The 25,633-nt window shown below is 41.8% G+C and overlaps 1 long non-coding RNA gene across 1 annotated transcript in view, besides 5 other annotated features; it reads right to left on the bottom strand.

The window, feature by feature from the left end:
- Positions 1–632: 632 nt before the first annotated feature.
- LOC105373133 (uncharacterized) overlaps positions 633–25,633 on the bottom strand; it is a 51,063-nt gene continuing 26,062 nt past the window's right edge. Inside the window, exons 3-4 of the long non-coding RNA NR_171577.1 lie at positions 10,630–10,723; positions 633–785 (exon numbers count right to left, since the gene is read on the bottom strand). This is a non-coding gene — a long non-coding RNA (uncharacterized LOC105373133). The remainder of the gene's footprint in view (positions 786–10,629; positions 10,724–25,633) is intronic.
- Positions 5,512–5,651: an enhancer, noted in NCBI's record as "active region_29434". NCBI's record gives its function as "activates an Ori minimal core promoter by ATAC-STARR-seq in GM12878 lymphoblastoid cells {active_cell/tissue: GM12878}" and the evidence as "EXISTENCE:reporter gene assay evidence [ECO:0000049][PMID:35858748]".
- Positions 8,624–8,783: an enhancer, noted in NCBI's record as "active region_29433". NCBI's record gives its function as "activates an Ori minimal core promoter by ATAC-STARR-seq in GM12878 lymphoblastoid cells {active_cell/tissue: GM12878}" and the evidence as "EXISTENCE:reporter gene assay evidence [ECO:0000049][PMID:35858748]".
- Positions 8,854–9,073: an enhancer, noted in NCBI's record as "active region_29432". NCBI's record gives its function as "activates an Ori minimal core promoter by ATAC-STARR-seq in GM12878 lymphoblastoid cells {active_cell/tissue: GM12878}" and the evidence as "EXISTENCE:reporter gene assay evidence [ECO:0000049][PMID:35858748]".
- Positions 14,484–14,653: an enhancer, noted in NCBI's record as "active region_29431". NCBI's record gives its function as "activates an Ori minimal core promoter by ATAC-STARR-seq in GM12878 lymphoblastoid cells {active_cell/tissue: GM12878}" and the evidence as "EXISTENCE:reporter gene assay evidence [ECO:0000049][PMID:35858748]".
- Positions 21,720–21,779: a silencer, noted in NCBI's record as "silent region_20665". NCBI's record gives its function as "represses an Ori minimal core promoter by ATAC-STARR-seq in GM12878 lymphoblastoid cells {active_cell/tissue: GM12878}" and the evidence as "EXISTENCE:reporter gene assay evidence [ECO:0000049][PMID:35858748]".

Raw genomic sequence — 25,633 nt, 5'->3', positions numbered from 1 at the left:
CTGTAATCTCAGCTACTCGGGAGGCTGAGGCAGAGAATTGCTTAAACCCAGGAGGTGGAGGATACAGTGAGCCGAGATCACGCCACTGCACTCCAGCCTGGGTGACAGAGTGAAACTCCATCTCAAAAAAAAAAAAAAAAAAAAAAAAAAATATGCGGAGCAGAGAACCAAATCCCCCACCATGATGGAGGCTTCCGAGGTCCATGATGTGGGGTTTCAGTGGCAGATACATTGACTTCCTAATAAGGAAGCCTCTGCCAGTCCATGGTCATTTCTCCCTAAGCAATCCTGTGTGCTCTTTAGAATAAGAAAGAAATTAACTCCAAATCATGACAGATCCAATAAGTTATACATTAAAACAACTCATATGGAAGTTGAGCTGCAGGAAATCAATGTGGAAAATGTAGGGCTAATTCCCATTGCATTACCAGTCCCACTGAGAAAGCTAAATTCTGCTCTGAAAACAGTTTCAGGACAAGTACATTCGATAGTCTCTCAAAAAATGGCAAAGAAAATCAAGTAGAAAGTGTTCTGTTTTTGTTCAGAAAATGACTATCAACACAACAAGAGAGCAGTGGAAAAAATAAATGTTTAAAAACAAACCAAAAAAAAAAATAAGAAAAGAAAGGGAAAGATATTGAATCACCCCATTGTTTTGATTTCCTTGTGCCAACGACAAAACCTGAGTGATTGACATTTCTTATTTGCTGACTTGATCAGACTATTTGATATCACACAGACATGGCAATTTTTCCCGTGGCAATCCCGGGGTGTCATCTCAGATTCTGTAAGAAAGGACCAAGGAATATATAATTGTATCAAGCTGCCATTTAATGAGGCACTAGATGCATCTCACAGACAAAGGTCAAAGTTTGAGATAGCAGAAGGGTTGGGACTTTAGGTAATCTGAAAACAAGCACTGTGTATCATTAGAAAAATTGTATGAAATGCCTATTTGGGTGAAACGAATTTTACTTGTGATGAGTAATGGCTGTTGTAAAATATACCTTGTAGAGAAACAAGCTTGGACATTTCTGTTCTTCCTTTTAGCATACCAGCCTTCAGTGTTGTGACACTATAGGGTCTTAAAATACTTGCCCCTGTTTATTTGCTTTTGCATAGCTGGTCAGGATTTTGTAGAATTCAGTGGCACTCCAGTGGGGAGCAGCTGGGACTCAGGAATTCACTTTGGAAGGGAGCTGGCAGCTGGGAAGACCAGGCAGTTCTCTTTGTGCTCAGGCCTTAGGAGAGTTGTGCATTTGGCAGGGGAATGAGACTTCTTGGATACTCAGAAAGGACACCACAGAAAGATCTGATTTTGCTCGTTCTACATATTCCACATGCTTTTCACTGCCTGCAACTGTCATTTCAATCAAGTTTTCATTACAGGGGAAATTTTCCTCTTAAAATATTTGCTTTCATAGGAATTCTGTCTGTGTCAGCACTGTGGTCAACCCCAGTGTCAGGAAAGTCCACTTTTAAAGATATGGGTTGGTGTGAATGCATATAAAATGATGTGAGAGTGTATTTACGCAGATGTGAGTTTGCTGGATTCTTCGTACCTCGTGACCCTCTAACTTTCTGTACTGCTGATTCAATTAACCATGCCTGTGGCACAGGAAAGAGATACTCTACTCTTTAAAAAATTAATACAATGAATGGAATTGGGAAAATAAGTGAAGAAAGATTGTAACTGTTTCATTTTTTTTTTCTAAAAAAACCCTTTTTTTCTCATATCCAAATCAAAAATAGTGATACTAACTTCTATTAAGTTAAACAGATGCCTTCTCTACAGCCCAGCAATTTTACTCCTAAGTACATAGCCAGGAGGAGTGAAAGCACAGGTCCATAAAATACACCAGTATTCATAGCAGCTTTATTCACAATATGCCCAAACTGGAAATGATCCAAATGTCCATCAATAGAAGAATGGATAAACAAATTATGGCATATTCTTACAATGGAATAATACACAGCAGATTAAAAAAAGAAAGAATAAACTGATACAATCACCTGGATAAATCTCAAAAACATTATGTTAAGAGAAAGAAGCCAGATGCAAGAGTACATTCTGTACAATTTCATTTATATGAAGTTCACAAACAAGCAAACCTAGTTTATGGGAGTAGAAGTCAGAATAGTGGTTCACTGGAGTGTGAGGGGCATGGGGGTTAATTGACTAGGAAAAGGGAAAAAGGAAGCTTTCTAGAGTGATGGAAAGACATAGATGTTTGTGTGGTCAGTGGTTTCCAGGAGGTATATTTAGGTAAAAATTCATCAAGCTATACACTTAAGATGTGTGCATGTTACTGTATGTAAATTATACCTCCATTGAAAAACAAAACATGGATAATGATAGTTGTTGCAGGGCTTACAGCAAGTATGGGATTACTATTAATAAGCATCAGATTCGGCTTTGTGCTTTTTGGCCACTCGTCATAAAGAGACCTAAGTAATATTTCTCATAGGATGGAGGAAGCACACATTAATCATTGATTGTTTCCTGTGTGCCTGATACTGTGCGCTGGAGGCCTTGGGAGACTTCATAATAAATCAGATCAGGCTCCTGCTCCCCTGTTCTGATGTACAGGCAGTACCTTCTATACCAGGCTGTGAAAAACACTAGACTGTGTTTGAGTGTGATTGTGAGCGTCTGAGTCACAGTCTAGTATAGAAGTTACTGCATGTACATTGGTGACAAAAATTCAAGGTAGAAAGTGACAGGTGACTCAAACAGGTTTGAACCAAGCACTGGGGGTGTCATATGCTTTGCCCGACATTCAGTTGAATTGTTGACTGATAGAGGCCGGTGAGGGGGCAGGTGCCATGTTTTCACAGGAAAGGGTGCTTAAAGGGTGGGATGGGAAATGTAAATGTATCAAGGAAAGTGCAAAGGAAATTTCCATTCCCCTTTTTCTGGCTTTGCCTGCATGGAAGAGTTTGCCCCTCAGCCTCAGAGGATCCATCTGGGGGCCCCAGGAGTCTCAGGGTAGATTAGTCTCCTATGGCTGCAGTAACAAATGACCACCAACTTGGTGGCTTAAGACAACAGTTTATTCTCTCACAGTTCTGGCGGCCAGAATTTTGAAATCAGTCTCGCTAGGCCCAAATCAAGGTGTGGGCAGGGCCACGTTCCCCCAGGAAGCTCTAGGGGAGTATCTGATCCTTGCCTTTTCCAGCTTCTAGTGGCCATCCATATTCCTTGGCTTGTGGCCTCATCACCCCAATTTCTGCTGTTGTTACATCACCTTTTCCATGTGCACGTAGATCTCCCTCTGCCTCCTTCTCTCAAGAATACGTGTGATTACATTTAGGACCCACTCAGATGATACAGGATAATCTCCCCATCTCAAGATTCTTCACTTAATGACATCTGCAAAGACCACCTTTTTTCATAGAAGGCTACCGGGATCAGGATCTGCTATCTTTAGAAGCCATTATTCAGCCTGCTACACAGAGCTAGTGCCGCCCTCCACCCCTGCCCCCTCACTGCCCACTGCCCACCTTGGTCCTGATGCCTGCAAATGGAGGCAAACACTGACCTCTCTCTGTCAGAAACAAACATGCAGTAATTAAAACGCGTGTTCATGGTCCCGCCTTCTCTCTTTCACCTTCTGCATAGTTGTATGGGCTGCCAGCTTCCTGGTTGCAGAATGACTCTTTGAAGAAGCCCCAGACGGAGCTTCCTCAGAGCTGTGGGTGGAATGTGCCCAACCAAGACTTGAGGGCAGGGCTTCTCACCGCAGCACTTTGTGGCAGGAGCTGTGCTGTGCGTTGTAGGATATTTAACAGCATCCCTGGCCTCTACCCACTAGATGCCAGTAGCACCCTCGCCTCCCCAACCCAGCTGTGGCAACCTAAAATGTCTCTAAACATTGCCAAACATCTCCTGGAGGGCCAAATGGCACCCAGATGAATCCCACTGCTCTACAGAGTGAAGTGGGGCCTCTCTGGCCCTGGGGGGTGGGGCTGGGCTGCTTTGCCACCCTTCTCTTTTCTAGGTCTCTTGAGTTTTGAGAACATGGAAGGGCCATGTTGCTGGGTCTCTAGTCTAGCCCCTTTGTCCTCAATCCTGCTGGGGAGGGGCTTCTAGAGCTGGGTTTCCCAAGACTAGGAATAACTGGGGCCCTGAATGAAGGGCTCAACTGGTGGATCCCAGGATCCCCTCTGACCAGACAGTTCTGGACCTGAGACAAGCTGAACAACCTCTCAGTTTTCTTTCCTTAGGGTCCTGAGAGGCAGTGGAAGTTGGTGTCTTGGACACTGGGGTCCCCGGGGGCATTCTATACTACTTACAGCCTCTGTTCTTGGTAGTAAACCCAAGAGAACATCTCAGTGGAGTAGAGCAAAGAGGCTAAGAGTGAGGGGCTTTGGCAGCTGACTGTTCAGAGTGGATTCTTAGTTCCACTCCTTATAAGCTCAGGCACCTGGGGCAAGTTACATGCACTGCCACAGTTTCTTCACTGCAAAATGTGGATAGAATTGAATCTCCTTCATAGGATTGTGGTGAGAATGAAATGGATGATACATATCAAGTGGTCAATAAATAGTCACTTAAAATGAGAATAACTTTTATCATATTTGTGTCTTATCTCTCTGTAAGATTTGATCATCCTCCTCAAGCAACCCCTAAGAAGATATTTCAAAGGGTGCATTTAGTTCTTGCCATCTCTGAGAAATGGATCTCTCCTACACATACATTATAGATAAAATACAATCATCCATGTGACATTCTGTGTTCTTCAATATCCCCATAATCTCATAAGCCTCTCCTGGTCAGTACTGCACAGGCCGAAACTAGATTCGGTTTTCTATGTACTTTCCTGTAGCCAGAAGCTACAGTTAAAGCTTGTTTAAAAAAAAAAAAAAAAGTAAAAACGAAGTTTTCTACACTGGCTGCTCCTTTCTTTGCTTTGAAGCTAGACTGTAAGTTCACAGGTAGCCCCAAATGCATAAAGATAAGGCTTCCTTTATAACAAGGAAAGAGAGAGAGAGACAAATCCCAAAGGCTTGCTTTTCACTCACATATATTATAAATTTAGTTGGATGAAGCAAGATTACAGCCAAATATGGGCAGAACATGCAGAGAAACCTTAACTGTGATTGGCTCTTAACTTTGCCCCAAAAGAAGAACATTGTGGTTTAAACATCGCCGTCCCAGGAAGTCTTGAAATCAACTGAAGGGTTTTTCAAATTTGTTCTTCATCATTTAAACCAGACCCAAGCCCACTCTCATTGGTTGCTGGAGGAGCTGAGACTGAAGTCTGTGCTGACATTTTCAACCCTCGTTTGACAGGATAATTAGAGGAGAAGCCCCCGGTGTTGGTGACATTTGAGTCTCAAGAGCTTCCAATCCCAGTGTTGGATTGAATTTCAGTTTTCTTTCTTGCCACGCTGCCAATTTGTACTGCTGTAAGCTGACCAGCTTACACACTGAAAAGCAAAACGCAGTTCAGCTGGTTTTAAAAGACCCATTGACAGCCCAGGGCTTGTAAAACGATGTGTACGGGTAGCTTCAGCTGGCCCCTGTAAGAGATGGCCTGAGATGATAAAATGCTTTGCAACTTAAATTTCCACCAAGTGTTTTAAAACATTGGGGTTTGTTTCAGGCCTTGTGTAATTCTTTGTTATCTGCAACACAGGCGTTCTTTTTGCTCTTGTGATCAGATCATGAATCTCTTGCACAATCAGCCCAAGAGCTCTGTAAGGATGAAGACTGTTAACTCTAGCTTTGTTACATTAGAGGCAACCCAAGGCTTCATTTGATAGCCATCTGAGACAGACAATGTGGCCCGCCAAGGCCACAGCTGTACTTTCCTACCAGTCATTTGCACAGGCTATCAGAGGGCCTCTCTTCCAAGCCTTTGATAAACAGGAATTCAACCCCAACTACCCTTTGGAAGCCAACGGATATTATTATAATCAGTGGGAAAACAGACAATGACGGAGTCAGCTCTGGCCAGAAGCAGAAAAGAACGAAGGTTGGTTCACCTCTCGTTGCCTACTGCATGTTGTGCACGAAATGACCTCAAAGGTCAACTTCTACGCTTTCCTTTTTGCAAGAACTAAACTCATACGTATGAGCCCTCCCCTTATGGAAACCTCAAACCCTGTTAGGCTACCCTGTCACAAACCCTGACTTGAATAGAGAAGTGTGGATCTGGGGGATAGAAGGGAAATTCTGGATGAAGTATATGTCTTTTTCATGCTCAAGCAGAATGAGCATTCAACTCATTCTGGTATCTTTGTTAAAGGTCAGTGGCTCTGCCAAAATGGCCATTTCCTTCTAGAACAACCCTGGGAAGCACCCTTAGTTCAATATCTGATCAGTTTTTCTCTTGGATCTTTAAATTCCGTATATGAAGCTGGTCTATGCTTTTCACTGTCACTTAAGACACTGCACTGTCACTATCAGTCCTCGGTACCAAGGATTGTCTGATAATAAAAATTTTAACAATCTGATTGTGACTATAAATTGGTGTAGTCATTTTCAAGGTCAGGCTGACAATATGCATCAACAGCCATAAAAATATTTAGATCTGTTGATGTTGAAAAATTTAATTCAAGGATCACATGTTTGGTCAGTAATCAGAGATATAGTCTAAAAATCTATGGACAGATATATTCATTGCGATGTTGTTTACCATGGAGAAAAATTCTATACCTCTTAAATATCCCTCAACAACAATTAGAAAAAAAAATATGGCATATTCTTAAAATGAACATAGCCATTAATAATCATGTTATGACCGGGCACGGAGGCTCACGCCTGTAATCCCAGCACTTTGGGAGGCCGAGGTGGGCAGATCACGAGGTCAGGAGTTTGAGACCAGCCTGGCCAGCACGGTGAAACCCTGTCTCTACTAAAAATACAAAAAAAAAATTAGCCGGGCATGGTGGCACATGCCTGTGGTCCCAGCTACTCGGGAGGCTGAGGCAGGAGAATTGTTTGAACCTGGCAGGCGGAGGTTGCAGTGAGCCGAGATTGTGCCACTGCACTCCAGCCTGGGTAACAGAACGAGTCTCCGTCTCAAAAAAAAAAAAAAAAAATCATGTTATAAGAGAATGGGGAAATGAGGCTAAAATGCTACATAACATGAAAAAAGGTAGGATACGCAATTGAATATCCAGAATGATCTAGGTTTGTAAAAAGAGGGACAGTGTTTACCAATATATGTAGAAGCAGAGAAAAAAAAATACTGGAAGGGAATACATCAAAATATTAACTGCAATTTTGGCTGAGAATGAAGTCCATAAGGGTTTTGTGGGGTTTGTTTTTTATCATTGTGCTTTCCTATATTGTTCAAATTTCTTAGTTATTAAATATTGCTTTTGAAAATTAAATATTGTTTTATAAAAAATACTGTTTTATGAAAAATTTATTGAACTTTTCATAATGAAAAATTCACTTACGAAAATAATATTTCACCTAAGCTTGCTGATCCTTTTTTGTGTGTTTTGTGACGGGGTCTTGCTCTGTTGCCCAGGCTGGAGTACAGTGGTGCGATCACAGCTCACTACAGCCTTGACCTCCCAGGTTCAAGCAATCCTCCCACCTCAGCCTCCCAAGTAGCTGGGACCACAAGCACATACCACCATGCCTGAATTTATTTTTTATTTTTTATGGAAACAGTGGCATCTAGCTATGTTGCCCCGGCTGTCTTGAACTCCTGGGCTCAAGTGATCCTCCTGCCTTGGTCTCTCAAAATGTTGGGATTACAAATGTGAGCTACCACGCCCAACCTGATCCCTAATTAATTAATTAATAACATGAAATGGGGGCACAGCAACATGCTAATAGTCTAATCCACATGATGGAAGTGAGAATGTCAGTTCTAAGTTCCTCCTGTATTTTTTCCACTCTTCTGCTTATAAGAAGGTCATCATGATTACATATAACATATGCCATACAAAAAGCCACTACTGTTACTTTCAGGTATGATGAATAAAAAGATTGCCCAGGCAAGTTGAGCAGGAGATGGCTGCTCTTGCAGTCTAATTAAGGGACAATGTGCCACCACCATTCTCTTAACCCACTGAGAGAACACAGGAAACGCCAGCTGCCGGAGCAGAGTTGGAGAAGAGATGGGGTGGCAGCGGCTGGGGTCTAGCTGAGACGTCCTTCTGTTTTCTTGGGTTAACAAAGGGGAAGAGACAAACCTTTAGCAAATGCATCCAGCTCAGAGCACATTTAAGCAAACTCTGCGGAGTGTGAGGAGGGTGTCTGGTGGCCCCAGAGAGTGGCTATGTTGGAACCCATGGCTGTGGCCATCGTACTCTTCTATCTTCAGGAAACTGCTCACCTTGTGATCAGAACTTTGACATTATTGGCCACTGGGTGACCAGATGCTGTCCTTAATGGCACTGGATATGTGTCTATTGTCATTTACAAGAAAAGAAGCTTCAGCCGTTCCTTAGGCGATACACAGAGTTAACTTGTAAGGTATGATGTGAGATTCACATGAGATCATGTTGTCCTCCATGCTCTCTAATTATTCTTTGGTTGGTATTGGTCTCAGCAGGAGAGATTGCAAGTCTTCTGGTCTCACAAACTACCCCTCCCACGCCAATCCCATCTGCTCCATCATGGGGCATCATCTTGCCGTTGGTCAGCCATGTTCCCCTATCTCATACTGATGCTTCCTTGGAAGTCCCCGTGCTAAACCACATTACTTTACCCTGGAGATGCCCCAACTCCTCCCCAAGGCCTAGGTGAAGTGACTCAACCATATGTACACAGTATCCTCAGATGTACACAGTATCCTCTCCATGGTAGTGAATCTGTATACTAATTTATACATAATCGATTTATGGGTGTAAAGACTTCACAAATAACTAAACATACAAAATGTGAATTCTCCTTCCTTCTCCTAGCTTAAGATTAGCTCAAAGACAATGAAAGCTGTACTGTGCTGTGCAATCTTCTCACGACCCACACGAAACAGGAAGCTCCTGGGGGTTTCTCACAAGCATGTGATAGATAGTTGTGGTTTCAGTGCAACAGTCAGGTAGATTTTGCAGCCGGAAACATTCACACAAAACATCCTTTATGGCTTCTGTCCAACTCCAGTGTTAGTCAGATGCAGTCCCTTTTACACTTTGACAAAAACCATTTGATTTCTCACACTGTATTTATTTTTTCTTATTGCAATGTCTTGTCTGAAGATACCAGACAAAGGATGACAAACTGGAGCCAGCTGAAGTGCAGGGCCCTTTCTCAGCTGCTCTTAAGAATCCCTCTCAGCACTTTGGGAGGCTGAGGCGGGTGGATCACCTGAGGTCGGGAGTTCGAGACCAGCCTAACCAACATGGAGAAACCCCATCTCTACTAAAAATACAAAATTAGCTGGGCGTGGTGGTGCACACCTGTAATCCCAGCTACTCAGGAGGCTGAGACAGGAGAATCTCTTGAACCCAGGAGGCGAAGGCTGTGGTGAGCCGAGATTGTGCCATTGCACTCCAGCCTGGGCAACAAGAGCAAAACTCCATCTCAAAAAGAAAAAGAATCCCGCAGATTGAGCCATTTTCCCCTGAGCAATAATCCCTCAAGCTTCTAAAGACACCACTTAGAGAAGGAAGAGCCTCGCCCCACTAATGCAGCTGAGTGATGCCCTTTGGGAAATTAGGCTAAGAGGGAATACCTTTTAGCTGCCTTCTGTTATTAATCTGGTCTCAATACCAATCAATGTTATTTATCACTACTGAACAAGCATTAATGCAGAGTCTGAAAGGGGCCTTAAATCTCGTGTAGTATGCTCAGAATCCTAGGAATCACACTTTTAGATCCCAATGGTATTGGGTCAAGGTTTTCCCTTCCATGGCAGATGAAGTTCACAATTTAGGATGCATGCTCACAAGCTTTGCAAGGAGATTACACTTCCGTTATGAAGAAAAAAGCAAACAAAAAAGAAAACCTCTTGCACCATTAATTTCAACTGCAATCAAATTGCAAGATTTTAAGATGATATATCTTGCACAAAGGTATTGTAGATAGAAGAGAAGCCTTTGTAAATATTTATATATTTCTCCATTGAGGGTTTTTAATTTTTGTTTTGTTTTGTTTTGTTTTTGTTTTTGTTTTTTTTAACTTCAGACAGAGAGCAAAGGAAACAGAGCTGGGTCACGATATCTCAAATGGAGGATGGTTTCTCTTACTCGTCTTCCATTTCCTCTATTCCTCATTCTCAAAGTCACACACCTTAATAAACACCCCAAGAAACATTTCTAAGTAGACAACACACAATTTTTAGTAATTGACTTATACAGCAAATGCTTATTTAGCTACAGCTGCTATGGTGGCCTGTCTTCTTAAAACTCACTAAGGGTCTTCCAAACCCATATTTTTGTCATCATATTAACCTTCTTTCTCACTAAATTATTGCTGAGATAAAAATAAATCAACAAATGAACCAAAAAATAAAATGGGTTTGGGATTCATTGCCCTTTCCTGTTATGTCCCATCTAAACTCAAGCCCAAGAAGAGGAGAAAAGGCAATACAAAGTCTTGGGAAAAACAAAGACTAAAACTCTTTCTGAAAAAATCGCACACAGCTGCAGAAGGAATAACTTCTCTGGGTGGGAGGGTGTGGGCAGGGCAGTAAAACAACCTGAGAAACAATCAAACCTTGCCTTCCCCAGAGCCCGCTTCGGACATGGTGTGGGTTGCATCCTTCTCTGCAAACTGCCTGTGTGCTCTGTGGCACGGCTTCCGGCAAGAGATTTCCTGTAAAGGAGAAAACATGTAGTGATGCTGTTTGCCCATGTTCTGTGCTCCTGCCCTGTGTTTTCTCCAGTTTTCAGCTTTCAAGAGCCTCTCAGAGAGAGTACACTAGATGCTGATATGCCATGCTGCCAGGCAATTTCTGTTGTATACAGATTTGCTTGGGAAATTCTAAATTAACATTAACATTCTTGGGAGGCCGAGGCAGGTGGATCACCTGAGGTCGGGAGTTCAAGACCAGCCTGACCAACATGGAAAAGCCCCATCTCTACTAAAAATACAAAATTGGCCGAACGTGGTGGTGTATGCCTGTAATTCCAGCTACTCGGGAGACTGAGGCAGGAGAATCGCTTGAACCCAGGAGGCGGAGGTTGCGGTGAAACGAGATCACGCCATTGCACTCCAGCCTGGGCAACAAGAGTGAAACTCCAACTCAGGAAAAAAAAAAAAAAAAATTAACATTCGCACTAATATTAAGATAGAAGTACTATTGTCTCAGGGGGTTCTGCAAGGCTAAATTGACATAGAATGACCTAAAATGATCTAAATACTCAACTCCAAATATCACAGAATAATAAATAGATTTGGATGTGGGAGAAAAAATAAATTCTTTATCATAGAGGTCCTGGATTCATTTATTCTGATGAAGGAAAGAGGGTATTAACTATTTGCAATCCTTCTAAAGCAGATACTAATAAATATTATTTTCTCTACTGGTTAAAGAACAAATTCCCAGTTTCATGAGCTATCACTTTACTTCCAAATCGGTAAAAATTACTAGAGACATTTGATGGCTTGGTAGAAATCTCAAGGTCAGCCTGTATTTGACTATTTTTGAACCATTGTTTCTTTAGTTGAAAGTGACTTTGGAAATCATAGGCTTTGTTTTGCAGATAAGGAAACTGAAGGCCAAGGCCACACAGATAAGTGGTGACACCAATTGTCCTAAAATCCCAAACCTCCTGATTACCCCAATTAATGCTATTTGCACAAAAATTTTCAAGCCATGGGCAGGACTTTCTGTATTAACATTCTCTAAGGATCTTGGGCTTCATATTAGGTTTTCATATTAAGTTTCCCAACTAGGAAGAGTAGCTGAAGCTGTTTCCTCTTCTGGCCAATAAATTAAAAGAGATACAAGCTCAGGAGTACTGAAACACGCATTGCTTTCTTGGGCTTGAATTTTTATGTAAGTCACTTATTGTCCTGCATCTAAAGATCTAAACTGCATCCAGGTTTTTTTGTTTGTTTTTGTTTTTGTTTTTGTTTTGAGACAAAGTCTTGTGGTAGGAGTTATTAAAAAATTATTTTAGGCAGATAGAGGAAAAGGGGTCCTTGGAAAGTTTTCATTTCTTTTCAAAGCAACTCCAGAAACATTTCTTGTCTAGCAGAAAAACTCTGGCTCCTAGACCCAGGCCGGCAACCTTTGATATGCAAATGCAGGCCATTAGAAACTGGGTCCACCCAACATGGCGATTCCCACCGTTGTCCTCTTGCCCTTACCCCGGACATGTGCCTGGCAACATGGGCACCCCCACATATCCCCACGTGTGTAGAACGTCATGGTGCCCTGCATTTGCATATTAAAAGCTAGGGTGGGGGGCCAATTTTTTCGCAGGCTACATGAATGACAAGCCTGGTCAAACCAATCCCCTGAGCCCTGTGCAAATCAGACACTGCCTCCTCCAGCCTCCTCATAAAACTGGCTGGTATCCTCAGCACATGGGGCCTCCTCTCTTGGATTTGGAGACCCCCTCCCTCTGTCTCTGTACAGAGGAACTTCTTCCTTCTTTCTTCTCCCTTCTTTCTTGCCTATTAAATTCTCCGCTCCTTAAAACCACTCCATGTGTGTCCATGTTGTTTTATCTAAACCGGCATGAGGACCAAGAACCCTGGTGTTCCTCCACTCATCAGAACCATATCAGTCTCACTCTGTTGTCTGGGCTGGAGAGCAATGGCATGATCTCGGCCCACTGCAACCTCCACCTCTGGGATTCAAGCGATTCTCCCACCTCAGCCTCCCAAGTAGCTGGGACTACAGGTTTTCCCCAACCATGCCTGGCTAATTTTTTTTGTATTTTTAGTAGAGACTGGGTTTCACCATGTTGTCCAGGCTGGTCTGGAACTCCTGACCTCAAGTAATCTACCCGTCTTGGCCTCCCAAAGTGCTGGGATTACAGGCATGAGCCACCATGCTGGGCCCTAAAGACAGTTTTAACATAAATTCTAGCCTTTTTTCTTAAACTGGTGCAGCAATCAAATAAGCTATCTTTTTTTAAAGGATTTTTGTGTTTTACCCTCATCTGCCATTTCAACTTAGCCAAAATACACTAATACGGCTATAAATTTTTACTGTTACAGTGATTTCAATAATTGTACTGGGCATATAGCCTCTAGATAATGGCAGAAATTGAAGTGAAACATATTTAAGGAGATTGCTTACAGAATTGTTCTCTTAAAAATATCCTGCTTGCATTTATTCAACGATTTTCTGTGAAATGGGAAAGAGGAAGGAGGAAATATTACTTACTGGGTTACTTGTTTTTTGTTTTATCAGACTATCGTTCTGGTTAATTTCACCAACTGGGGAATGTTTAAAATGGATTTATTGTTTAGGGCATGTGTTAGGATGAGGATTTCTCAGCCTCGGCACTAGTGACACTTTTGGTTGGACAATTCTGTATTAGGGGAGTTGTCCTGTGCATGGTGGCATGGTTAGCAGCCGCCCTGGCATCTACCCACTCCATGACAAGAGCAGCCTTTTCACTGCCCCTTTCCCGCCTCCAATCCTGATAACCAAAAATGTACCCCCTGCCAATTTGCCTTCCGATTCAGAACCACTGGAGTCTCCTAGGCAGGTTTCACGCTACACTGTGAGAGCTCTAAGAGGAATTGGCTTTTTTGGATATCTTTAGCTTGGTTTATGCCCCAAGGACACGTGAAAAATCCTAAACGATGATGATGCCTGTCTCACCTCACCACCAATCCACCTTCCAACTCTTCGCAAAAACACAAATGCACCTGTCATTTGAGGGAGCTTAAGTTAATCAAGGGAAACATTCACATGTACTTGCTTTACACCAGATTAAGAAAAGGAATATTTCTTCCAACATCAGGCAAAATTTTGCTATTTGTTACAAGACAAAGGTAGGCACGTGGGTTTTAACTCTAGTGTCTTTGCTGGCTCCTGAACTAGCCAGTTCTGCCTCAGAATCGCAGTGGTTTCCCCTGTGGCTATGAACAGAACATTCTACAGCACAACAGTCACCATTAGTGGGTCACACTAGTTTTGCATTCTCTGAAATTGCAGCAGTCACAAAAAAATCCCACCACCCCTCTGCTTCTTGAGCTTTTCTTTCCTCAAATGGAATCCACATGAGTCCAAGTCCATGCCAGAAAAATGAAATGTGTATTATTCGGGAAACATTTCCCTAAACAAAATGACACAGGGAAATTCTTCCTTGCCCAAAGCTGAAACTCTGTGCTCAAGAGCTCTCTTATCGGAATTCTGCACTCAATCTTAGATACCTGATACATTCTGCTACTATGATATACAACTTCCTTATGCTTTGGATAAACAGAGGCATATTTTCAGCTTTAATGCCAATATTAAGAGAAGGGTTACAGCATTTTTTTTTTTTTTTTTGGCTTTTACATCCTTTGCTTTTGCGTCAGACAGCAGGATCTCTAGCCACAGTATAGATCCAAATTAATAGAGACACCCATCTGCAAAATGTAATCACTTTCAGCTCATGATGCTATTTTCTAATCCTAGAGCTCCTTGTGCAAGGTTTGTGTGCAAGAGTCTTGTGGCCTGGCTTTCTGAAAGCAACTTCCTGTGCGTGTACAAAAATATTTCAGGCTGCTATCTATTTCTAAATACTTGCCCTTTCTTTTCTCTCTGTTCCCCCTTTTTTTTTTAGACTTTCACTACCCTTGTGATAGATTCCGTTGTCTTACTTTAAACGTGAATATAGTATCTGTGTTCTTTATGCTTCCCATGATCAACAAGGCCTTGCACAAATTTGATAAACAAATGCAACAGCAGAAAGAAATTTTTATATTCTTCCCTGCCCCACCCTCAATAAAGCTGTAGCAACCCAAATAAGCCGACCTTCTCCCAGTAGAAGACATTTTATAGTTCAACCATTTTCTATAATGAATAACTTTCAACCCAGAGTGCCTCCTCCGGGTTCAAAACTCAAGCTACTTGTGATAAAAGAAAGATGTTTTAACTTCAGCCTGAATGATTTTATGCCTCCATGAAATATAAACATTAGCAGAGAATAAAAAGCTATGAAGATGCTTTACTATGAGATTTGAGACTTCATTTTCTACAGATATTTCTTTCAGAATCCACTTAATTGAATCTGTTTGAATGTGTAATTCTTTGTTATTTGATTTTGTAGACATTTTTAAAAAATCAATACAAATTAAGCCTAGAATACAGAAACATATTAAAATTCTTTTTTTGGTGGTGGAGCTACATTCCAATGGTTAGAGGAAGGAGAAGGAGAAAGAGAATAAACAGAATAAATAAGTAAAAAGACATAGTTTGTTAGAAGGAAATAAGTCAAGCAGAGCAGAATAAAGGGAATGATACTTGGGGACGGGTGTGATTGGAAATAAGAGTGGTGAGGACAGGCCTCCTTGGACACTGACATGTAAGCAAAGACTAAAAGAGTCATGTGGGCACTGGAGAGAAGTGTCTTCCAGGCAGACAGGACAGCCAGTGCAAAGGGGGTTTGGGAGTGGGAGCATGCCTAGCATTAGGAGGAACTGATGGAGGCCATGGTGCTCAGTGAGACAGTCGTGGGAAGAGGAGAGGACGAGGCCAGAAGGTAACAGGGCCATCTCCTATAGGAGGCCTCTGTAAGGATTTGGCTTCTACTCTTGGAGAAATAGGGAACCATTGCAGATCTTACTTAATTATTATTTTTTACTGAGGTGAAATTCACACATCATAAAATTAACCATTTTAAAGTGAACAATTCAGTGGCATTTTTAGTGTATTCATAGCGTTGTGCAACCGACACCTCTATTTAGTTCTAGAACATTTTCATCACCTCAAAGGGATATTCCCATACCCATTGGCAGTCATTCCCCATCATCCCCTCCCCGTGGCCCCTGCCAACCACAGTTTGCTTTCTGTCTCTATGGATTTCCCTCTTCTGGACACTTCATATAAATGGAATCATATAATATGTGACTTTTGCGACTGACTAGTTTCACTTAGCATCATATTTTGGAGATGCATTTGTACCTTATTTCTTTTTATGGCTGAGCAATATTCTGTTGTATGCATATGCCATAATTTGTTTATTCATTCACCATTTAAAGGTCATTTGGGTTGTTTCCACTTTTAGCTATTGTGAATAGGGCTACTATCATCATTGCAGGCTTTTAAGTAGAAAAGGGACATTATCTCACTTCTATTTTATACAACACATACAGGGCTATTTTATGAGTCACCTACTAACCCAAATTAGTAAATTCATTGTAAAATGGCAAAAATAAGTAAATAAATAAATGCTTCTCCCATCAGTGCCACCCCTTTGCCACATGCTACCACCTGCTTTGACTGCTTAAAAGATCTTCTTCCAACACAACCATTTTTTAAAATTCTATAATTTCTCCCCCTTCCATTGGTGATTAAAGGCCAAGCAACTGTTAAATGTAAGGCTGTCCCCATTATCCAAAAAATTAATGTTTTCCAAAATTGACACAGGAATTTTTGAGAAAGATAGGCAGTAACTATTAAGAATGAAAATTCTCCAACTGAAAGGGGAAATCATTTTTGCTTGAAAATATAGATGTGGGCCAGGTGCGGTGGCTGATGCCTATAATCCCAGCACTTTGGGAGGCTGAGGCGGGTGGATCACAAGGTCAGGAGTTCAAGACAAGTCTGGCCAAGATGGTGAAACCCCGTCTCAACTTAAAAAAAAAAAAAAAAATTAGCCGGTGGTGGGCACCTGTAATCCCAGCTACCTGGGAGGCTGAGGCAGAGAATTGTTTGAACCCAGGAGACGGAGATTGTGGTGAGCCGAGATTGCGCCACTGCACTCCAGCCTGGGTGACAGAGCAAGACTCTGTCTCAATTAAAAAAAAAAAAAAAAAACAGATGCATTAAATGCATCGTGGTATACTGACCTAAATCCTGAAAGAGGATAATGACAGCACCCAGGCCCTGAGCTTCTTTGACCGCATTTTCCCTTCTCTACCAAAACATTCAGGGGCCTACAACCTGCCAGGCAGTGCTTGCTGGCAGGGAGCAAGTAATCATGATATTAATACATTCTCCCCTCCACCAGAAGGCAGCTGTGAAAACAAACTGGGGCCCCAGAGACTTGGTGCCCAGGAAAGCCAATTCCCATGCATCGAAAGTCTTTCCACCAGTTTGAAAGGAGCTCCCAGCTCCCTGGCTTTGCATCAGCCAACGATTTCTGAGTCACAGAAATCATTTGGATAAGGAAAATTAGAGGTGTTCTGGGTGACGCCATCTCCCCACTCTGCATGTGCCTGGTCTGGTTGGAAAGGCTGCGGGAGGCCCTGCTGAACTCCAGATGAAAACGCCGAAACTGAAAGCACTTCCCTTCTTCAGCAGAAAGCCTCCCTCAGAGTTCCTCCCAGGCAATTGCTCGTTAAAAAACCAGAGGCTGGAGCAAAAGGAATCTGAGAGATTTCTGGCCTCAGCAGCCTCTGCATGAGCTCTGGAGAAACAGGGCATGTCTTTGAGACTCCTAGAACAGGTTGGGCCCAGGGCAGGATCAGGACGGGGCAGTGGGAGGCTGAGAGGAGAGGGAGGGAAAGGGAAGAAAGAGAAGCACCTCCCAGAATCTTAACCCAGGAGCAGTCGGATTAAAGTCAGCCAGCCTTGAAGAGGAAAGTATACCCCCAAACACGGCCTCAGTCTCCAGCCTCCATCTCCAGCCTCCATGCCCTCTTGGCTGGAAGAAGGAAAGTGGGGAGAGAGGTGCAAGGTGAGGAATGAAGCCACAGGCCAATGTGGAGTTTAGGGCATCCTGGGCTGATAACTATATATGTAACCTCTGACGAAAAAGTAATTCTCAGAGGGATTCAAAAGAAGCCAGGACTTGCTCCAGGGATCTCTCCCCCAATTCCCCCAATTTGGAGGAAGAAGAAAGGATCCTGCTTAAGAAAGGATCCTTTTCTAAGCATAGGTTGAAAGTTTGCAAACTACAGCTGTTTGCACCATCCCATAATTGGAGCCGTCTACACTACCCCTACACTTGCTGTGTGAAATGTGGCTCTGAGAAGTCCAAATGCATTGACCACACTGACTACAAATAATTCCGCTTCCTTATACCTCTCAGCCTTGGCCCATGTTGTGTCCTGTGTTCCCTCCCACGCTCTATCCCCACTCCCACCAGCCTGGTCAACATTGTCCCGCAAGTCTCAACTTTTATATTAACTCCTTGGGGAATTTTCCCTGCTTTCTCCTCCCCTTCTCTGCCACAGAAAACACACCCAACTAGATTAGGTACCCATTTTGAGCACCCTGTACTTGCCCTTCTCAGACCCTCTATCACACTGTATTCTAATGTTATACCTCCACTATTCACATAGTACCTGACAAGAAGTGGGCAGGCATTCAATAAATGCTTTATGAATGAATGAATAGATGGATGGATGGATGGATAGATAAATGGATGAATGAGGTTATAAAAAACAAATAACATACCTGTGTGTATAATACATATCACCTTATAAAACATAAAGATAGATAGATGATACATAGATAGATAGATAACTTGTTTGAAGTTTCATGATTCCCCACAGAACAAATATTATTTATTTTCGTTTTGCCGGGGTGAAAAGAGCTTCACATCTATTAAATGACTTGCCCAAGTCACAGGTGATAAAATCAGGTTCCAGTCCACGGAAATATTTGTATGAGTATTTTTTCAAATTTCCAGCACCATTTTACTCAAAAAAAATATTCTGGTGCTAGTCTTGGAATCGATAGTGCTAATTCTGTGGAGAATATATATTGGATATAAAAGTACAGAACTTTAAAGTCAGAAGAAGCTTGCATGCTCCTCTGGTCCACCTCTGTTATTTTACAAATGAGGAAACTGAAGCCCAAAGAGGTTAAGTCTTGTCCAAGGACACACAGCTACTAAATGCAAGTCAGGATGGGAGTCTAGATTTGTCAGATGATGTATCCAGTACCTTTTCTATGACATAAGAAAAATGATTGGTTTATAAACAAATTCTTGGAACACAGCATATTTCTATTTGAGGCCTGCCTGTGTTTGTAAAACCACTCATGCTCAGACTTCCTGAGATTATGCCTGTTGCAAATATTCTGTGCCAGTGTCAGAGCATGGGGCCCAGTGTGGTGACAGAATTAAAGTTAGCTCTGAGGAAGGCCGGGCATGGTGACTCATGCCTGTAATTGCAGCATTTTGGGAGGCCGAGGCAGGCAGATCACTTGAGCTCAGGAGTTTGAGACCAGCCTGGCCAACATGGTGAAACCCTGTCTCTACTAAAAATACAAAAATAAGTTAGCCAGGCATGGTGGCAGGTGCCTGTAGTCCCAGCTACTCGGGAGGCTGAGGCAGGAGAATCGCTTGAACCTGGGAGGCGGAGGTTGCAGGGAGCCAAAATCTCACCACTCCACTCCAACCTGGAGCCTGGGCGACAAAAGCAAAACTCCGTCTCAAAAAAAAAAAAAAAAAAAAAGCTCTGAGGTCAAATTACCTGGGTTCAAATTCTAGCTTTGTGACCTGTGGCGAGTCACTTAGTTTCTCCTGTGCTTCAATTTATCACCTGCAAGATGAGTATAATAATTCCTACCTCAGACGGTTGCTGTGAGAATTAAAATATTTACTACACATAAAGTCATTCGGAGGGTTGACTGACTCATACTAGGTACTGATCAATGTCAGCTTCAGTGATCTCAGTTTAGAAAACAGCTCATTACATACATAGGAGGTCATTGTTAGTCCACATGAGTTGGGGAGAGTAGTGACTGGAAAGGGTCGTGAAGAGGCCTTCTGGGCACTAGCAATTTTATCTTTCTTGAACTGATAACCTGTTACACAGTTACATGCAGTTTGCAAAGATCCATCAAATCAATCCTATATAATTATCAAGAACTGTGAAGGTTCTCAGATTTGACCCTACTTGTAATCTGACAAGTTAGCCTGCCCTAGTTTCATGGATGTTGACAGAAGACATGAGACTCCTGGGTCAGAGAAAAAGGACTTTCTTATTCAGAGAACAGCATACAACATGAGCTTCATATTTGTATCAGTTTCTCTTGCCCTCTAAGTCCCATGGGGGCAATGTAGAGGAGCCCAGTTGAATACTGCACATGCAGTGGGTTTATGCCATAGTTTAAGAACACAAAGTGAAGGGAATCCAAATATTTCTAAAGAGGCAATAAGCCTGCCTGACCTTTGTCCTGGAGAGAACCACTATTGTGTTGGAATGGCTTTATTATACTGGACTGATTTTTGTTCTGGAGGGAAACCCTATCTCTGTCTTCCAAGGCTGTTCACTATACAAACATCCTTGAGAAGAGAGTTCAGAACAAATGGAGTCAGAGCCTCTGGTTACAAGGCGTGCAGAAAGGTGAGAGACCCATGGAGAATGGTTACCCAACAATATATGCACTATTCTGATATATGTCACGCTCCAATAAAAGGCTTTTTAAAAGTGCTACCCTAAAAAAATTGTTGCCCTATGGTCAAATACCTTTGGGAATATCTGGGATAAACCATTTTCTTTACCATTGTACTTAACAGAACCTTTCATATGCTAATGTGTATAATGCAACTGCAGGAAAAGGAACACAATTTGCAGTTGTTTCTCAACATTCAATGCTTCTTAAACCCTTTCTACACAAACATAAGAATTACCTGGGAGTCTAGTTAAATGCAGATCCAGATTCAATAGGTCTTCAGTGGGACCAGAGATTTTGTGTTTCTACCAAGCTCCCAGGAGATGCCAATGTTCTGGCTCATACATCCCCACACGTTGAGTACTAAGGAGTTAGAAAACTCTCTTTTCAAGGAACTTCTCACAAGACTAGGATTCTACCAAACATGCTGTAAGATTACAGTTTCCACCAACCCTAGCTCTACTATTACGTCCAATCTGATATAGGAAGAAAAAATATAAAATTCTTAAATGCAAAATCTCAATGATTTGTGATGCAGGTCAAAGCTGGTTAAATGTAAAATGTAAATTAAATGTAAAAATACTAAAATGCTTAGGAAAGTTCTAATACTTAGGACGTATCTCCTGTGGTATAAGCAAAAACCACAAATGGGGGCTGAATAACAATGAAATTCTAATTTTGCCATAAATGATAACCTAAAACACTAAAATCAATGGAATGATATTTTGCAAAGTAGATGAAACCTAAGCTAATGAGGGTCTGAAATGACAGAGGCTGGAGACTATTAAAGTGGCTGGTGGATGTTTTCCTGAGCTTCATATAACATGGAGGTACCTGAGCCACGCTAATCCCAATAGGGCATTCCCCATGGGTGACTGCAGTGGGCAGAAGGCTGTTCTCCTGTGGCTTTCACACCACCCCTGGGCAAGAGGACATCCAGCAGAAATGACTCAGCTGTACCTAGTTCCATGCTTATCTTCCTTAAAACTTCAGTTCTCAACCCTGGCTACACATTAGAATCACCCAAGAAGCTTTGGAAACACTTCCGATTCCCAGGCCTCTTCCAGACCAGTAAACTATGAATCTCTTGGGACAGAGCCTACACATCGGTAGTTACAAAAATCCCCCCAGTGATTGTGATGGAAACTGTTACCCTCAAGCCTCTGACAAACTTCAGTGAAGGAAGTAAAATCCACAACCCAGTGTAAATGGAGCATATATCACCAAGGTACACCTGCTTTCCTCTCTTCCGCATCTCTGATTCTGCTACTATACTAAGAACCACCACGCTCTGAGAAGAGACATCAACAACAGCACGGTTCATTTCCTTCTAGACCTCACCACATGCCTCATCTCTCTCTAGTTCATGTTTGGTATAAGCGATGGGTCTCATTTTTAGGGAACAAAAGCACAGAAATCTCCCTATGTAGGACTTTGTGGAAATTTTGACCAGGGTGAAATTAATTTCATCCCATATTTACCATAATTTGAGCATTGTATTATCTCAAATATTACCATGGATAAAGGGATTCTGCAGTGTCATGCTATGCAGTTAAGATTTCTGGGTTTGGGTCACAACTTCCCGTACTTACTAGCTGTGTGACCAAGTTGGGTAAGTTACTTCATCCCATTAATCCTAGTCTGTTCACACATAAAATAGGAGAATTCATAAAGTTCAGAGTTGGGATGATCATTACTAGAAGGTAATTCATGTGAATGACTGGACACTGTCCCGGGCATAATAAAACCTCCATAAATACCAGCTATTTTTATAAGTTGATTTGGTATCATTTAAATAGATGATCTGTAGATGGCCACTCTTCAGTGAGCTGTTTATTATCCAGCCTCAGGGAGACATGTAAATTGAGCATAAATGTTTAAAGACTTTTACACTAATTTAACAGAGTAACTGTCTATCAAATCTAATAAAACTCTTAGGCTTGCGTTTTGTATGTCTTTACTAAATTTTTGCAAGAACTCATTTTTAAAAATGTTATGACTATTGGTCCATGGACCTGTATTTTGTACACCTTTTAAATTTAGTTTTTTCTAATAATTCATTTTATGGAAGTATTTTTCCATGATAGATTGGAGATTAAAAAATTGATTTTTCATAGAGTTTGAGAATAACTAGTTTAAAGATAAATTTATGAATATTGTGTCACAGACATGAATGAAAAACCCATTGTATCTGTTTTCTGTGCTATATAGCAAACTACCACAAGTTTAGTGGCTCAAAATAACACCCATTTTTTTTTATTGTTATTATTATTTTTTTTTTAAACAAAGTTTCATTGCCATTGCCCAGGCTGGAGTGCAATGGCGCGATCTTGGCTTACTGCAACAACCGCCTCCCGGGTTCAAGAGATTCTCGTGCCTCCGCTTCCCAAGTAGCTAGAACTACAGACACACACCACTGTACCCAGCTAATTTTTGTATTTTTTTGTAGAGACAGGGTTTTGCCATGTTAGCCAGGCTGGTCTCAAACTCCTGAGCTCAAGTGATACTCCTGCCTCGGCCTCCCAAATTGCTGGGATTACAGGTGTCAGCTATGCCTGGCCACAGCCATTTATTATCTCACAGTTTCTATGGGCCAGGAATCTAGGTATGGCATGGCTGGATTCTCAGCTCTGGCCTCAAGAGGCTGAAATCAAGTTGTCAGCTGGGCTGCAGTCTCATATGGAGATCGAGGACCTTTTCCAATCTCACATGGTTGTTGGTAGAATTCAGTTCCTTGAAGCTGCAAGACTAGGGTCCTTGTTTTCCTACTAGCTGTCATCCGGAGGTCACTCAGTCCTTGAGACTGCCCACAGTTCCTTGCCAGGGGCTGTCCCACAGCTTGGAAGCTTCTTCAAGACCAGCAAGGCAGGGTCTCTCACGCCAGTCCACTAAGACAGAGTCTTACATGGTGTAATCAAGGGAGTGACATCCCATCACCTTTGCCATATTCTATTGGCTGGATGCAAGACAGTTTCCTCTGACACTCAAGGGGAGAGGCTTATACAAGGATGGGACTCATTGGGGGTCACCTGAGGGTGTGTCCACCACTCATCTACAAATAATCTTATTGTAATGGAGTGACTCTCCCAATAGTAAGCCATCAATCACCATATAAAACAAACTTGGCACAGGTTAAAAGAATCATAGAGAAGTTGGATAATTTGATGCTCATATAACGTCTGACTTAAATAAGCCAATCTGTGAATTAGTCCTGCAAAATTGCCATGGCATAAGTTTCAAATAATACACAAAAAGGAAATGTTGCTTTTGAGTTCCACCTTTTGTGTTGCTGATGCCTCTGAAAAAATGGTGTGTATGGCACATTTTTCTGCAATTATTTTCTGATAAATGTGAAATCCAACATAATTGCCCTTGAAATGAGATATTTAATGATGTGAAAGCTAATGACCATGTTAATGGTGATTCTCAATAAAGATCTGTTTATCCTCATAAACTCCTTGAAATCTAATGCAGTGGCTGTGGAAATCGCTTAATAAACCTCTTTTAGACATGGCTAATTTTTATATACTATGGATTGATTTACGGGACTTTTTTAAGAAGCCCAGTTCTCCACTTGGGTCTGAGTGTAAAATTCCCAAAGGGCTTAGCCTGGTGTCCGTTTGAACAGGATTGGCGTGCATGTGGAATTATTTTCCTTCTTCACTAGAGGCCCCCAGTTTGACAGCACAACAGTGGAAGCACAGGTTTGCATGTGTATGAAGGGTACCAAACAGCTTCAAGAACTTTTAGAAAGTGCATGGTATATAAATAATAAATGAATGAATGAATGAACAAGTGAGTGACTGAGTGAATGGGAGGCCGAGGCGGGTGGATCACGAGGTCAGGAGATCGAGACCATCCTGACTAACATGGTGAAATCCCATCTCTACTAAAAATACAAAAAATTAGCCAGGCGTGGTGGCGGGCGCCTGTAGTCCCAGCTATTCGGGAGGCGGAGGCAGGAGAATGGCATGAACCCGGGAGGCGGAGCTTGCAGTGAGCAGAGATCGCGACACTGCACTCCAGCCTGGGCAACAGAGTGAGACTCCGTCTCAAAAAAAAAAAAAAAAAGTTAGTTACTTCAAAGGAGAGAGAGTCATGAATAATGGAAGACAGCTAGAAACATCTCAGCCGATAGTTTTACAACAGAAGCGATTTGGTCGATAATGGCACCTTCTAAATTATAGACTTTTAATTAGGGAAAAGGATATGAGGACAGGGGCAGAAGGGGCTTCTATGGAAGCTGGTAGAGATTATTTTAGGGAAAATTAACGTGAGATCACATCGTTTTGATTGTATGACCCATAACTATGCCTTTAGCAGGGAAAAGGTTAGTATATTTACAGAATAGGTATGTGCTAACAATGTTTGGTTTAAACACATTACCCCAAAATACTGCCCTCTCAACTGCTGGAAATGCATCTTTCTACTGGAACACTTGGCCAGAAGTTGTCCCATTGGAGAGCCTTTCAACCTTACCTTTAACAGGCTAATACAAAGGCTTATCTTACATACTCTTGTGAGAAATTTTTTAAAGCCCATATTTCATATAACAGCTATGTGAGATTCCTACACTGAGGGGTTGTTAGTTTTGGGGGAGGTGAAAAAGAAAAAGAATACAATACTCTGGAGCTCAGGGAGATGTTTCAGGAAGTGCATGTTGGGTAGGTTTTCTTGGCGGGCCACTTAGGTAGCACTAGGTGGTAGAGAGGACACAAAGAGTCAAGAAGGAGACCAAAAAAAAAAAAAAATGGAAGCATCCAGGGCAGACACATCCTGATTCTTCTATCTGCTTTCCCTGGTTTTTGGGAATCCTGAGAAGAAATAAGCTAGCACTTTAAGGCTACTCGTCCCTATTGGTTGGGGGCCCAGAGAGACTCACAAAAGGTTGAATTCAGCTCCGTAGAGTAGCACTGTCAATTGGAAACATAATGCAAGCCACAAGAGTGAGCCATATATGTAATTTTAAAAATTTCAGTAACCACATTTTTTAAAGTATAAAGAAATGGGTGAAATTAATATCTTTAATTTAACCCAGTACATCCAAAATACTATTATTTCAACATGTAGTCAATGTAGAAATTATTAGATATTTTCTTTTCTTTTTTTTTTTTGGTACTAAGTCATCAAAATTAAGTGTGTATTTTACACTTACAGAACACTTGAATTTGGATTTAATCCACTAACGGTTGCTCAGTAGCCACATGTGGCTAGTGGCTCCTGTATGGAAAAGGGCAGCTATAGAGAATGGTAATCCAACAGAT

This window comes from Homo sapiens, chromosome X, assembly GCF_000001405.40.
Source record: "Homo sapiens chromosome X, GRCh38.p14 Primary Assembly".
NCBI classification, from domain to species: Eukaryota; Metazoa; Chordata; class Mammalia; order Primates; family Hominidae; genus Homo; species Homo sapiens.
The sequence above is the reverse complement of the archived record's forward strand: the minus strand, read 5'-3'. Positions and strand labels throughout refer to the sequence as shown.